Below are 14,975 nucleotides of genomic sequence, written 5' to 3' on the forward strand. Positions count from 1 at the left end.
TGAAATCTAGGCGGAGGTTCCCAAACCTCAATTCTTGACTTCTGTGCACCTGCAGGCTCAACACCACATGGTAGCTGCCAAAGCTTAGGCCTTGCACCTTTGAAGCCACAGCCTGAGCTGTACATTGGCCCCTTTTAGTCATCACTAGAGTGGCTGGGATGTAGGGCACCAAGTCCTTATGCTGTACACAGCACAGGGACCCTGGGCCCAGCCCATGAGACCATTTTTTCCTCCTAGGCCTCCGGGTCTGTGATGGGAGGGCGTGCCATGAAGACCTCTGACATGCCCTGGAGACGTTTTCCCCATTGTCTTGTGGATTAACATTTGGCTTCTGGCTACTTATGCAAATTTCTGCAGCCAGCTTGAATTTCTCTTCAGAAAATGGGGTTTTCTTTTCTATTACATTTCTTTTCTGTTGCTAGTTTTCTGAGCTTTTATGCTTTGTTTCCCTTATAAAACTGGATGCCTTTAACAGCACTCAAGTCGCCTCTTGAATGCTTTGCTGCTTAGAAATTTCTTCCACCAGATACCCTAAATCATCTCTCTCAAGTTTAAAGTTCTGCAAATCTCTAGGGCAGAGGCAAAATGCTGCCAATCTCTGCTAGAACACAACAAGAGTCACCTTTGCTCCAATTCCCAACAAGTTCCCCCTCTCCATCTGAGACCTTATTGTTCATACTACTATCCGCATTTTTGTCAAAGCCATTCAACATGTCTCTAGGAAGTTTCAAACTTTCCCACATTTTCCTGTCTTCTTCTGAGCCCTCCAAACTGTTCCAGCTTCTGCCTGTTACTCAGTTTCAAAGTCACTTCCACATTTTCGGATATCTTTTCAGCAGCGCCCCACTTTACTGGTACCAATTTACTGTATTAGTCTGTTTTCATGCTGCTGATAAAGATACTCCTGAGACTGGGCAATTTACAAAAGAAAGTTTATTGGACTTTAAATTGCACATGGCTGGGGAGGCCTCACAATCATGGCAGAAGGCAAGGAGGAGCAAGTCACATCTTATGTGGATGGCAGCAGGCAAAGAGAGCTTGTGCAGGCAAACTCCTGTTTTTTAAAGCCATCAGATGTTGTGAGACTTATTCACTATCATGAGAACGGCACAGGAAAGACCCACTCCCATGATTCGGTTATCTCTCACTGGGTCCCTCGCACAGCACATGGGAATTATGGGAGTTACAAAATGAAATTTGGGTGGGGACACAGAGCCAAACCATATCAGAAGCATTCTCATCTAAGTTCAGGTTCATATTTAAATTCCAGACTTTATTCCCCAGCCCAGTGGTAGAATCTATGTGCTTGTTCAGTGGCCTGAGTCTCTAGGAGTTCCCCTTGTGCTGTGGCTGGGTCGCCCTGGGGAGAAAGGAGGCTGTAGCATAAGATATAAGCTGTGTGTCCTGGGAATGGTGGCCTTTGATACCACCCCCGCCCACACAGGCCCACTCTGGCAGGCCCCTCTAGGGAGCTGGATTCACAGAGCCAAGCCCTCAGCTACCCTCTGGAGTTCACTCTGCTCAGCCTTGCCGGCACCATTGCCTTGGCATTGTTTCTCCCTGGGTCCTTTATCACTGTGTTCTGGTGAATGCAGCGGCAGCAGGTGTAATGACAAGGGGGCCTTAGCTAACGGGGAAGTCACAGCTGGGACCCTCTCTAGGCCTCAGTTGTCCCACTATGAGAAAACAATATCTGGAATATGGCTTACGGTCCCTGCTGGAGGTCCAGGACAGTGGGATGGTAGAGTTACTAGGAGTCACTCTCTCTGCCACTTTCCATTTGATTGATTTGGGGCCAGTTACTTAACTCCTCTAAGCCTCAGTTTCCTCATCTATAAGTGGGGGTAATGATAATTACTTTCTCATAAGGCTGTTGTGGAAGAAGGTGATCAAATTCAAGCAGTCAATAAATGCAAGTTACAATAGTGATTATATGCAATAATTATTTTATCAGCAATGGTTCCATTTTCTTTCCCAGTCCTGTCCTCTTCACCTTTGTCCTTGGGGGAATGATCTTTCGAGTCATGCCCACCTTTTGTAAGAAATGTGTCTGAGCTAGGCTTTCCTGGTCCTGGTTCGATGGCTTAGGACCCAGGCACTTGTTCCACTCTATGTCCATGCGTGGAACTTTCTAGTGGACCAGTAGCTAAGTCTCACTCGGCAACATCCTCGTGGTATGAACAGAGCAGGGTTGTGACAAGGAGCATGGACTCTCTTGATCTGGTTGCTTTCCTTCCGCTAAGGGTCTGGGAACTTCAGAACAGAGCTGGGGTGAATGAATGCGGGGAGGAACCCTCCTTTCACTCAAACCTTCTACAAACTTAGCAATGTCTGTGGTGTTCAGTGACTTCATGTTCTGTTCTCCGTGAGTCATAACGAAGGGCTCACATGGCCATGGTTTTCTTTCAGAGGATGTGGAGGATGAGTTGATAAGGGAAGAGGTCATCCTGTCGCCAGTCCCATCAGTGCTCAAGTTGCAGACAGCATCAAAACCAATTGACCTCTCAGTAGCAAAGGTAAGTGTAAGGAGACTCCTGGGTTAAATGTGTCTTGATTTGAATGGATATAGATGGCGTGATTTTGGTGTTTCTGCCCCAATCCAGCTCATTGTAATCTCTTGGTCATTGTTGAAATGGAAATTTGGGTGTGATGTAGAAGAAAATGTGAACCGAGAGTCAGGAAAACTGCAGTCTAGTCCTTGCAGCTCTCGTTCCCTCTCCAAGACAAAAGGTGAGGGAGGAGGTTATGTCCTCCCCTCCAAATACCGTGGGAATAGAGCTGCTTCATCATGTCCCTGTGGGCACCGTTAGGGTGTGATGGAAATGGTCCAGTTGTCCCCATTAGAGCAGCGCTGCTCCTGTACTGGTCTCCTAAGCCCTGGCCAGGTTGCAGTGAAGGAAGGACAGGGAGGTGTTAACAATTCTTCAGCACTGTTCAGGTGTACTCCCTTGGCCACTTAAAGGGCCCCGTGGTCACAGGGGACCAGGAGCAGGTTCCTGGCCACAGCAGCCTCTTCTGCAGGGGTGTCTGGGATTGCTCACCATGCTCGGCTACCAGGGTGGCCTCACCACTCCCGTGACCAGAGGCTCCTGCAGGATGGAATGTCATTCCCGCTGTCCTCTTCTGGCCTTTCACCAAGATCCAGGAGGGAAAAATAAAACTCCTAGGGACACAGCTGACTTCCTTCTCTTCCTACTTACTACATATTTACTCAGCATACAAATCAAAGAGCAAAATATTTTTCTAGAGGTTTTGTCCTTTCGTTTCCTTCCCCTCTCCTCCCCTCTCCCCTTCTCTCTCATATCTCCCCCTTCTTCCATTCTCTCTTTTGAAGCTACAGAGGGTCAGATACACTTAAATGGCCCCAAACCTGGGAGGAGGTGCTCTGTCATCTGTCACCATGCAATGAGTCTTTGCAGAGCGCACTTATGCTTGGGGCAGACCCCTCAGGCTCCTAAAGACTATGCAGCAGTAGCGTCTCCAAAAGCAACTGGAAAAAGTGAGGCCTGCAGAGAAAACAGGAGGGCCCAGGGCACGTGGCCTCTGGAAAGCAGAGTCCAGGTTCCCAGGCTCTGTTGACCACACTGTGCCTAGCGGGAGCTGTCATTCTGAGCCCTGACAGATGAATCCACACATCCTTTCTCCTGTGTGCCACCAGCCCACATTTGATGACATGTGGACAAATGCTTCTGTCAAAGAGATTTTTCCTTATATTTAATGAAAAGGAAAAAAAGAGCTGATTCTGGTGGAAAATAATGAGTCTGTAGGAAAGGTCTGACCCAGAGAGGGGGTACAGGGAAGTGGCTGTAGAATCCACCTGCTGGTCTTGGGGCTCACTCAAGGCTTCAGAGACCCCCTCAGATGTAAAACCATGGCAGAGAGAGGGTGGGCCCATCATGAGGGGAGTGGGCGGGGACCTGCTGCCTTTCTCATCTGAGGGCCTGTCCATGGGGAAGGGATTGACCATTCTGGGGGCTCTGGAGGGTGATGCGTGGGTTGATGGGAAATGAACAGTGAACTCATTATCAGCCAGAAGTCTGGAGAAGACAGCCGTGAGAAAGTAGAGGGGCTGCCTTGAGAGGTGGTGGGAACCCCTTCACTGGGGGGTTGGGATGGTTCAAGCAGAGTTCACGGGGGACCACTCATGGGCGGCATCACAGAGGAGGTTCTTACGCATGGTAGAGAGTTGTACTAGACCAGGAGTTGGCAGGTGTTTTCTGTAAAGGGCTCAATAGTGTATTTTTGGCTTTGCTGGCAGTGTGATCTCTGCTGCACCTATTCAACTTTGCCATCATGGTATGAACACAGCCATGGGTGGTATGGAAACAAATGGGCTTTGCTGTGTGCCAGTAGAACATTATTTACAAACAGGTGGTGGGGGCAGATTTGGCCTGTGGGTCACAGTTTAGTAACCCTGCACTAGAGCACTGGCTCTCAAACCCGGCACACTGTGGAATCACCTGGGGGAATCTTAAAACTACTGATACTGGAGTCTCACCCTCAGCAACTGGGGTTTAATTGGCTGGTGTGTTTTCTGAACATCAAGATTGTTTTTAGGAACTTCGTATCCTAGATGGTTCTAATGTGAGGTCGAGTTTGAAAACCCCTAGTCTTGCCTGTGGAAGATCAGAGGACCTCCAAGATCCCTTGCAAATCTAAAATTTTGTTTCTCAAGGCCCCTGTAAGGAGCTTACAAAGATTTTGGCCCATGTCAGCACAGGCTAGCTTGGTTTAAAGATGTTCCAGAGGTAAGACCCTCATTATTGAGTTTCTCTTTCATCAAATATAAGAAGAATGAGCCTGAAAAATAAAAAGAGAAGAGATGAACCATGCTAGAAAATGGGCTTCCCTGCTAGAATTCAAGAACAACTTCTGCAGGAATATGCACACTGAACATCGTATTGTTGCTTGCTTTTAAAACAACCAGTAAAACTCTCTCTTCTTTTTATAGGAAATAAAGACCCTTCTGTTTGGTTCCAGCTTTTGCTGTTTCAATGAAGAATGGAAACTTCAGAGTTTTTCCTTTAGTAACACAGCCTCATTAAAATACGGCATAGTGCAGAACAAGGCAGGTTGCTCCTAGGTTTCCTTGGGACCTTTCTGCTGGGCCATCATGCATAGGGGTGGGTGTACCTCCCAGTTTTGGTTAATCCTGTGAGCATTAGCTGAGCTATTCTGGACCAGCCAGCCCCACATGTGCTGAGTTGTCACTTGGTGCAGGCACTTCAGATGTGGCTGGTGCAGCAAGAGCTGGGGAATAAGACCCTCTGCTTTGGAGATGTTAAAATTGAACATGGATTTAAGGAGCACTTGCTGTGAGTGGTGCAGGTGCTGGGATCCTCAGCAGGAGAGAGAGCAGTAGGAGGCCTTCAGTCTGCTTGGGGCCACTAGAGGGGCCTTCTTAGGCTGATCATTGAGAGATTCACAGGATTTTGCAGATAGAGCTGGAGAAAGGGCACTCCAGGCAGGTGGCAGCATTAATGAAGGGGAGGCGGTTTGAAAGTCTAGGGGCTGCATGAAAAGGCAGAGGGATCAAGTGTGCAGAGCAAGTGCTTGAAGAGAAGGATGTAATAGAAGCTGGGCCAGCGGAGGCCAATGGTTGCAGGCCTAGAACATGGCTTATACCCAGTTCCCACATTATACTCATGGGCAGAAAATAAGCTAAACCCAGGATCAAGAATCAGCAGTTGAGCAGGGCAGCTTGGTCCGGTTCAGTTTCTTAAGCCCCAGGAACCTCCCCTGCCCCACACTGCCTGAGGTCGAGCCCCAGGACCACCAGCTTCTGTCCCTCCCTCTTGTGGCCAAACTCAGCTGGTCTTCATGAGCACCCCAACCTGCCGTTCAGACAATCCTTAAACCTGGATGAGGTCTGTTTGTGTTGTTCAGTCCCACTAGCCTTTGCCAATGTGTCCCAGGAGTCAGATCCTGTGCTAAGCCCCGTGATGCCTACAGAGATGAGCTCCTCAAGAAGCCTCTGCACCACAGGGTGAGAAAGGACAAAGATACACCTAATGTGGTGCTGAAGCAGGCCACAAGTGGGGCAGAAGAGAGCGCAGAGCTCATGTAACCACAGGCTGTTGAAGGGGCTCACTGCCAGCCGAGATGGTCAGGAAAGGCTTCTTGGAGGAGGAGAACTTTAGGATGGGCCTTGAAGGCTGGGTAGACAATTAACACCCTCAACCTGTAGACACAGAAACATTTCCCTAGATGATAGAAAACCTATGGTGATGTCCTTGGCTTCACAGCTGACTGGTTATGAGGAGTCACTTTCCTCCCATGACACACTGACAACTGGCCCCTTCCCCTAGGAGTGGACAAAGGGTCTTGTCACTCCCTCTCTGTGGCCCAAGGTTAGTGTGTTGTAGAAGCAGTTGCCACATCAGAGGCCCTTCTGTTGCAGAAGGCAGGGCCCCTTTACTCTATCAGGTGGGTTCTGGGGTGGGTTTGGGTGAAACCAAAAACTCTGCCCCAGGCCAGTTCTCACTGGCAGCAATGGTCTCATTCTTTGCAGGGTGGTCCTTGCGGAGTCCTGGCAGCTGTCCAAGGCTGTGTCCTACAGAAACTCCTGTTTGAAGGAGATAGCAAAGCCGACTGTGCTCAGTAAGTCAGTGCTCTTTCTGGCAATATCTTATTTTCCCAAGTCTTCCCCAGAGTGTCCAGAAAAAACAAGCAAGGAAGCATGTGTGTTCCCTGATATTTCCTGTCTTCTGCAGGTCAAGAAAGGAGAGGTTAATGGCAGCTAGCTGACAAGGCCTGCGCAGACCAGTGTTAAGGGGACTTGTGCGCGTTTGTTTCTGAAAGCGGGGAGGGTTCTCAGTGGTGCTCCACCTGGGAAGGGGCTGCAGGAACGACATCAAAACCAATTTCCCTCCTCAGACGGCAAGCTGCCCGAATCCCTTCCACCCACCAGGTCGACCTGCCGACCTTTCGACTGCGTCCGGGCCTCCCTTCCCTCCCCACGCTATCTCCCCTCTGCCAACATTCATAACCACACATTCCAGGCCGCCCCACAGATCATCACTTCCACTCCCTGCAGCCGTTCAGTTTCCATTTCACACATTAAGTGTTTGCACATGAGCACCTTATTCTCATTCATTCAGCACACATTCCTGGAACATCTCTGTGCAGGCACAAATGATACAGGGGAGAATTAGATGAGTTCTGTCCTCTCCAGAAATGCTCCATGAGGTTGAGAGGCAGATAGAAAACCCCAATCCCATACCATCGTTGGTGCCAAGATGAAAGGATTGGCAGGGCACTGGTGGGGCTGGAGGCGAGGCCTTCTTGAGGAAGTGACCTGCCTCTCTTTCCCTCCCTGCAGGCCCGGTTACCAGCTTGTACCGAGTCACCCTCAGAGCTACAGAACTTCTGGCAATTGGCCTTTTTTAAAAAAAAAAAATTTAGTTAAAATATAACATATACACAGTAGTTATACTATGTGTGTTCTGCTCAATGAATTATCACAAAACCGCACACCCATGAACACATTGTCTAGATTAAGAAAAAATATTTCTAGTACTCCAGAAGCATCCTCTGGTACCCAGCAGGTACCCCTATTCTCCTGAAGTTATATTAATAATTAAATGGATTTTAAAACCATAGCTTAATCTTGCCAGTTCCTGAACTTTATTGAAAGGTACTTGTTCTTTGAAATAAGCATTTGAGAATCTTTTTTAAAAAAGCCTAGGTGTTACCCAGACAACAAGACCCATTTCCCATGCATTCCTGGGAACGACACTGTTCACTAGGAGAGCCATCCAGCCAAGCTTGGTACTCCAATGAAACACATTTCACCAGCACGGATGATTTTTCCTTAGTTAGGGTTCAAGTGAAGGTGGCTTTTCATGCTTGGCATCTTAAAATTTTTTCCAATGGTTTTGCACAATAATAATTGAGGTGTTTCCTCTCCAACCAAAAATGCTAATCAGAAGCACAGCAATGTAACACTTCCGTGGCAAGATCTCACCTGTCCTTGTTCTTCTCTCTGCTTCCCCTCCCCTTTGCTCTCCGGTCGATCCTTCGTGGCTCTTGTCTGTACAGGATCATGCCCCACTGCCTGCTCTGGAAGTTCAGCCCCACAAAGGGCTGGGAGGTTTGAATGTCATGGGCAGAGACCCTGCCATCAGCTCTCCCTGGTGGGCTCAACACAGTCCTGTATGCTCAGGAATGCTCCTGACTGGGTGGAACTTTGCTAAGTAAGAACCGCTGGCTGCCCTCAGAGGGTACAGGGATACTGAGCACATATGCACCTACCTACCTACCCACCTTCCTTCCTTGCACTGAAAAAAATGTGCAGAGTGTGCTTAGCAGGTCCTCAGCAGGGATACAGGGCTGAACAAGACACATACAGGTGCCCTCATGGCACCTATGATTGAACAGGAGAGCCAGACAGGAACAGGTGGTTACAGGGGACATGCACGGTGCTAAGGGTTCATCTGGACATGAAGTGGCTCAGGGCGGGCAGCCTGGTGGACTGACATTTTCATCTTACGGAGATAGGAAGGATGGACAGAACCCCTGATTCCCCTTCATATGCATCCTTGCACACTCTTATTCCCCCTCAAATTGTTTTCACCTTCCCAGCAAATATTCTCAAACACCTTCCTGAGCCCTCAGGCTCTGTGCTCAGGCGCTGTGCCTGCTGGCTCCTCTCATTGCACAGAGGCCACATCTTTGTGGAGGCCTCCTGGGACCTCCCCCATTAAGATAAAACCAGGCCCTGCCTCTAATAACTCCACTGCCAGCTGGTGCTCTTGCTCATCGATATGGTTACCTGTCCACATCTGCCGCCACCTACTACTGCCCACCCCACTCCAGAACACAAGCCCCGTGAGAACAGGGACCTTCCTGAGCTGGTTCACAGCCAGGGCCCTGGCATCCAGCCCTGTGTCTGGTCCACAGAAGAGGCCCTCAGAATTTTTGTTGAGAGAACACATGGACAAATGAATGAGTTATCCAAACAGGGAGGGGAGGCAGAATGGTATTCCAGTAAAGAGAACAAGATGTGCAAAGCCTGTGGGCAGTGAGAGGAGTGGAGGAGTCACTGGGGGTGGTTAGGGCAGCATTTGGAGGAGGAGGGTGGGAGCTGGGGTAGTGGCAGGTCAGCGCCAGGCTGCCAGAGGGGCCTTGGGTGCTGCCAGCTGCTTGGATCAAGCCTTGGCCCTTGCAGGAGATTGTCTCTAAACTCATTTCAGCCTAGTGCTCCTTCAGAGTTGCTTTTGAACTTCACCGTGGGCTTCTGGGGGAACTTGTGGATGGTTTCCCAACAGTCAGGACAAGGCATTTAAGCATGTTCCAGGAAGAGCCGACTCTGCTCAGGGCACAAGGCAGACTTGGTTTTTGTTACCCCACCCCCAGGCCACATCCATGGGGTGGAAGCCCACTGCTGTCCACACCAGGGAGGGAAGCCAGGCCTTAGAAGGCAAAAGCCATCCAGGTTGGGATCCCAAGGGGGTGTCTGGGTAGAAAGAAAACTGCTAAGCTGGAGGAGTGAGGTTTTCTATCTGTCGTTGCCGGCCAGGCAGGTACCTCCTAGCTGCAGGCCAAGGATGGTGCAGCCCAGTGGGTCCTGGGGCTGTGGGGGTGGGCAGAGGAGGAGGGAAGAAGGAGCTGCTGGCCTGTTGGGGGTCATCATGTGTGGAGGTGTGCCAGGTGCCAAGGAGCCAGACCTTATGGGGGGGCCTGCCTGGCTGGACCAGAGGAGGTCTGTGCCATGCAGCTGGGAGAGCACGGCCTGCTGGCCAGGGCCACCTTCTCCAGCGAGCCTGGAAGGATTCATGGTGTAGGAGAGTGACCTCGCTTTTGTTTGGAGCCCTGCAACTCTGGGTGCTGCTTGTAGCCCACCCCCTGGACTGGGTGCTGCTTGTAGCCCACCCCTACCGGCTGCTGCCCCATCACAGAGGTGCTGTGCTGTGCAGGTTGAGTGAAGCGGTCTGACTTCCTGCTCCCACAGACCTCCTAGCAGGCCTCAGGGGACATTCTTCAGACTCCCCTGAGAGGGAGGAGTGGAGAGCCTGGCTTAGTTATGGAGCTCGCTGAAAAAGCCTCAGGGGACTCAGGCAGAGCTGTCACAGGGAGACAAGCTGGGGAGGCCCAGAGACCGTCTCCCCTGACCCCAGCAAGGACTCGCCTCCTCCTGGTGATGGGCCCTGGGCAGCAGGCACCAGATGCCCTCCCCAGCCCTCCCACCCCAGTCTCCTCCCACTCTCCTGCACTGGTCCTGCCTCAGGTCGCAGGTAGATAGGGGTTGGGGAGGAAGAACCCTCCTGAGGACAGGTTAGGGCTTCTGTCAAGTGAAGACCCGGAAGACCAGGGAGTGAGGGCCTGCTGTCGGGGGCCTGGAGAAGAGAAGGGAGGTGGAGTCCATGTCACTGCTTTGCCAAGGCCCTGAAGGTCAGAGGCTACAGAAGGTTGTCCTTGCCAAGTGGGTGGGTGTCTAGCCTGTAGATGTTGGTGCCCAGGCTGGGAGGGGGAATGCCTGGCTTTGTGCCCCTCAGCCACCCTGGGAGAGGGGAAGGGTGCTGAAGAGGGTACCAGACCGGGTCAGGACCTGGATTATGGTTGTGTGGAAACAGAGCATCACTTTCTCCGTTTGTGAACTAGGAATAGTCATCTCTGGCTTGCCTAAATTGGACTCAGTAAGAAAATGCAAAGTCCTTTGTAAATCTTCAAGGGCTCTATAAGTGAGTAGGGCCATTGAACTCAGCCTGCCATGGTACAGATGGGGAAACTGAGGCCCAGAGAGGGAAAGATGGTTGTTCAGGGTCACATCTGGCATCCCTGGCAGAACCAAGACTGGCACCTGGTGCCCCTGTGTCACATTGTGCTGCTGTGCCCTGCAAGAGGCATGGAGCAGTGGGGGCCCAGGGAGGCCAGGAGGAAGGCTGAGGGCTCTGAGTTTTAGACTTCCATCGCTGGACACCCACACAGACTCCTAGGGACCAAGGGGTGGCTCTGTTCATGAACGGCTTCACGGTGGAACCTCCCCTTTGGCTTTAAGTTAGAAAAGATGAACACAGAAGAGTACAGAGAGCAACATAGCAAACACCTACAGAGCCCCTGCCCCACACGAGCAAAGGGAAACACTGGGTCACGTGGGCAGGAACCTCTCTCAGTCCTCAGCTCCTCGGTTTCATTGACTTATATAGTTTTCACATTGATTGATTGTGTTATTGATGTTCCTTCAAAAGCCATGTGTGAATGGTTGGGTGTGAGGCCTCAGCACTCCCTTTTGACTCTGAAATTCTAGGATTTCAGACATGATCCAGCTTAAAAAAAAAAAAAAAAAAGGGCAAGCTCTTCTGTTTTCTTCAGGAACACCACGATGACCTGCCATCAGCTGCCATCTGCTCTGCGGCTCTGGGGAGCTCAGGCCCTGTGGACCCAGAGGCAGCCCCTGCACTTTCCTGCCTGTGTGCGGGGTCTGCCTTGGCCCTGGAGGCCCCCACCTCAGATGTTGCCCACCACATCTGGTGGGGAAATGGTTCTGTGAAAGCAGATGGAGGATGGGATCGCACCCTCCAGGGAAGTCACGCTGAAATAAAGGCATCTTGGCAGTGGTGGTGTTTTTTCTGCAGGACTGTCTGGCTTCATTACGACTCATTCCATCAGGCCGGCAGCCGGCCTCTCCTCAGTCGGGAAGGATGGAGCTGGGCAGCAGTACTTGGTGTTTTTCCACTTGAGAAGAGGCTGTGCCGGCTTGGCTCACAGAAAGAGATGAAGAGCTCTTGATCCCCCTGAAGGCCTGGAGAGAGCCACAGGCCAGGAACGGCCCTCAGAGGCGGGTGCGGATCTGAGAGTCGGGGAATCCAGGAAGTCCTCCTCTCACTTCCACTTCCCCTCTGAAGTTGGGGAATTCGAGGCCCAGATAAGGAGAGGTGCTTGCCCAAGGCCTCTGTGGACATTGGTAGCAGAACCTATGGTCCTGCAGCCCCAGGCCAGCCTTTCTACCCCCTATTGCAGCTTTTGACCCTGAGAGGGAGCAGACAGGGAGCTCCCCCAAATTATAGACTCTGTACATGGCTCCATGGGCACGTCACAGTGGACAGGTGAGGCTATTTTGAGAAAGTTAGGGTAGAAACATCTCTTTCATCTGAAACACTTGGGTAATTTAGGTAAAAGCAGGATGTATTATTCCCTCAAGATCATTTATTTTCCCTATCTCTAGATAAATGTCTTTTTCCTGCACTTCACCTGTGAGGAATTCGACTCTTAAAGAAACTTCTCTTGGTTTAAGAGCCTGGCCAGGTGCCAGCCTCCTGGGAGGAGTCTGACTGATCAGGAAATGCAGACCTGTTTGTCACCTGGGTTCTGCCAGTGAAGGCGTGCGCTGAGCTATCTGGTAAAGGCCTGGGTGATTCAGACGCAGGACCTTTCCCTGTCATCATCTGTGGGTGCAGGTTCTCACGCAGGCACATACAGCCCTGGCTAATCTGGGGTGGGTTAAATCCACGGTCCCCAGCCTTTTTGGCACCAGGGACTGGTTTTGTGGAAGACAATTTTTCCATGGACTGGAGGTGGGGGTGGGATGGTTTCGGTATGATTCAAGTGCATTACATTTATCATTAGATTCTCATAAGGAGCGCGCAACCTAGATCCCTCGCATGCACAATTCACAATAGGGTTCCTGCCCCCACGAGAGTCTTATGCCACTGCTGATCTGACAGCAGGCAGAACGCAGCTTCACTGGCTCGTCCGCTGCTCACCTCCTGCTGTGCGGCCTGGTTCCTAACAGGCCACAGACCAGTGCCAGTCTGTGGCCTGGGGGTTGGGAACTCCTGGGTTAAAGACAGAATGGCAGTGTTGGAATGATGCTTTGGGGGCATCTGACCCAGTGTCTGCATTTGTAGGTGGGCAGGGAAACAAAGGCCAGGGAGGGCAACGGTTTTACCAGAACCTGTGAACCAGGAATCCAGCCCAAGCCTCTTACCTGTCTGATCACTGTACTTTTTCCAACTCTACTGTGTTTTCTAGAAAACTGTGTCTCAAAAGAGAAAGATGGAGAAGGCCCAGGGAAGAATAGAGAGACTGGCAGAGTTACTAACTGGAAGCCAATGAAAAGAATGAGGACTTGTGCTTGGAGACATGGTGGTTCAAAGGGGCTGTAAGCAGAGCCTGTAGGATGAGGGGACAGGCCCTGCCCAAGAGCAAGATCTCTTGATTGTGTTACATGGTGCTGAAAAGACAGGGTCAAAGGCAAAGGAGGCTGGTTCCTGAAACCAGGTGCCCACGGCAGTTGGTTCTACTTACCCAAGCTCTCCTTCCTTCCTCAGTGTTTATTTTTTCCAGTTTTTACTAACTATCTGATCTGAGTAAATCACTGTGTCTCCATGCCTCAGTTTCCCCATTTTACAAAGAGGATATAATGGTACCTCCCTCATAGGGTTGCTTTAACAATTTGATGAAATAACATGGAAAGAGTTTATAACAGTGTCTGGCACATGATAAATACTCTATATATGTGTGTGTGTTTTTTGTTGTTTGTTCGTTTTTGTTTTTGTTTTTGTTTTAGAGACAGGGTATCACTCTGTCACCTAGGCTAGAATGCAGTGGCACGATCATGGCCCACTGCAGCCTCCAACTCCTGGGCTCAAGCAATCCTTCTGCCTCAGCCTCCTGAGTATCTGGGACTGCACATGCCACCACACCTGGCTGATTTTTTGATTTTTCTAGACAGAGTCTCGCTATGTTGCCTGGGCTGTTCTCAAACTCCTGGCCTCAAGCGATCCTCCCACCTGGGGCTTCCCAAAGTGCTGGGATTACAGACATGAACCACTGCACCTGGCCACTGTTGGCTTTTAAAATCTTATTTGTTGCTACACTGAGAAGCTTCCAACTGAGAATTACCTGCTTCAGTAAGTTAGTGTAGAAGTGTTTGACAGGGGGTCTCCTTACTTCCAGATATGGAGTTTTTCCAGCTTAGGTGTTCTAGGCAGAAAGTACACTCCAGGCACGATTTTGTGTAACGTCTATCCATGTTGGGGAACACTGGTCACACCTGTGTTGTAGGAAGACACGCCCCCACCCCCACCCCATGTGTATGTGCAATGGTGATTGGACGGTGGGGTGAGATGGAGCAAAACTGCTGGTGGGGCACTGGCTGTAACAGCTGAACTGAGGGCAGAACACCCTGGCCTGGGCCACACAGCAGGGGAAGGGTGGGCATGAGGTACTCAGGATGTGCAGTTGACAGTACATGGCCATCATTTGTATGAGAGCAGGGCATGAAGCAGGAGCTGTGGGGGTGATGGAGTCACATTTGTGGGTTCTGAGTCCAGTCCTTTCTCCTTTTTCTGATAAGCTCTGCTTTCCAGGGCCCCCTTAGTCCTTGGTGTGGGCTCTCCTGAAACCTAGAGCAATGTTTTCTCATGGTGGTTTTCATAGTGAACCGTGACCTGGGCCAGTGCTCCCAGCAGCTGGGGCATCCGGTTCGGTGAATGCTTGGTAACTATTTCCTCCAAGGAACATGATGGGCTTCCTGAGGCCAAAGAAGTGTCAGGCAGTAGCTGTTTTATTTTCTTAAGTGCTTGAGTGCTTGTTGCTTGTCTCATTGGATTTGAAGGATTTCCAGTGTCAGAGGCTTGGTGTCACTTTCATATTAGATGTTGGAAATCCACTTTCCCCTTGTCATGGCCCAAGTGGGGACTTAATGGTTTCATAAAGACAATAGTCATACGCGCCATTGATTGAATAGTCACCACGTGCCAGCCACTGGTCCAGGGACCTTACAAACATCTCCTTTAAAGCCACGAGGGAGGTGCAGTGGTCATTGCCAGTTTATGGATGAGGAAACTGAGGGGCCACTGTGTTCTGTCACCTTTTAAAGTAATTGGACCACAGCAGCCTAGGTGTAGGTCACTGGCTATGTGTCCCAGGCACTGGGCAGTGACCACATGCTGCCCACTGTGGTGGGCTGGGTTCTGGTCTGGTTTCTTTTCTCCTGTCCTGGAAAAGAGGGACGAACTTCAGTATTCTTC

The 14,975-nt window shown here is 50.6% G+C and overlaps 1 protein-coding gene and 1 long non-coding RNA gene across 2 annotated transcripts in view, besides 1 other annotated feature; both read left to right on the forward strand.

Moving 5' to 3' along the window:
* INMT-MINDY4 (INMT-MINDY4 readthrough (NMD candidate)) overlaps positions 1 to 14,975 on the forward strand; it is a 140,253-nt gene that overhangs the window by 82,114 nt on the left and 43,164 nt on the right. The window contains exons 9-11 of the long non-coding RNA NR_037598.1: positions 2,410 to 2,516; positions 4,952 to 5,068; positions 6,512 to 6,600. This is a non-coding gene — a long non-coding RNA (INMT-MINDY4 readthrough (NMD candidate)). The remainder of the gene's footprint in view (positions 1 to 2,409; positions 2,517 to 4,951; positions 5,069 to 6,511; positions 6,601 to 14,975) is intronic.
* The window catches only part of MINDY4 (MINDY lysine 48 deubiquitinase 4), a 120,971-nt gene that overhangs the window by 62,832 nt on the left and 43,164 nt on the right, over positions 1 to 14,975 (forward strand). The window contains exons 7-9 of the mRNA NM_032222.3: positions 2,410 to 2,516; positions 4,952 to 5,068; positions 6,512 to 6,600. Coding sequence (NP_115598.2) covers positions 2,410 to 2,516; positions 4,952 to 5,068; positions 6,512 to 6,600 — 313 coding nt within the window. The remainder of the gene's footprint in view (positions 1 to 2,409; positions 2,517 to 4,951; positions 5,069 to 6,511; positions 6,601 to 14,975) is intronic.
* Positions 14,213 to 14,282: an enhancer, noted in NCBI's record as "active region_25819". NCBI's record gives its function as "activates an Ori minimal core promoter by ATAC-STARR-seq in GM12878 lymphoblastoid cells {active_cell/tissue: GM12878}" and the evidence as "EXISTENCE:reporter gene assay evidence [ECO:0000049][PMID:35858748]".

Source organism: Homo sapiens, chromosome 7, assembly GCF_000001405.40.
Source record: "Homo sapiens chromosome 7, GRCh38.p14 Primary Assembly".
Classification (NCBI taxonomy): Eukaryota; Metazoa; Chordata; class Mammalia; order Primates; family Hominidae; genus Homo; species Homo sapiens.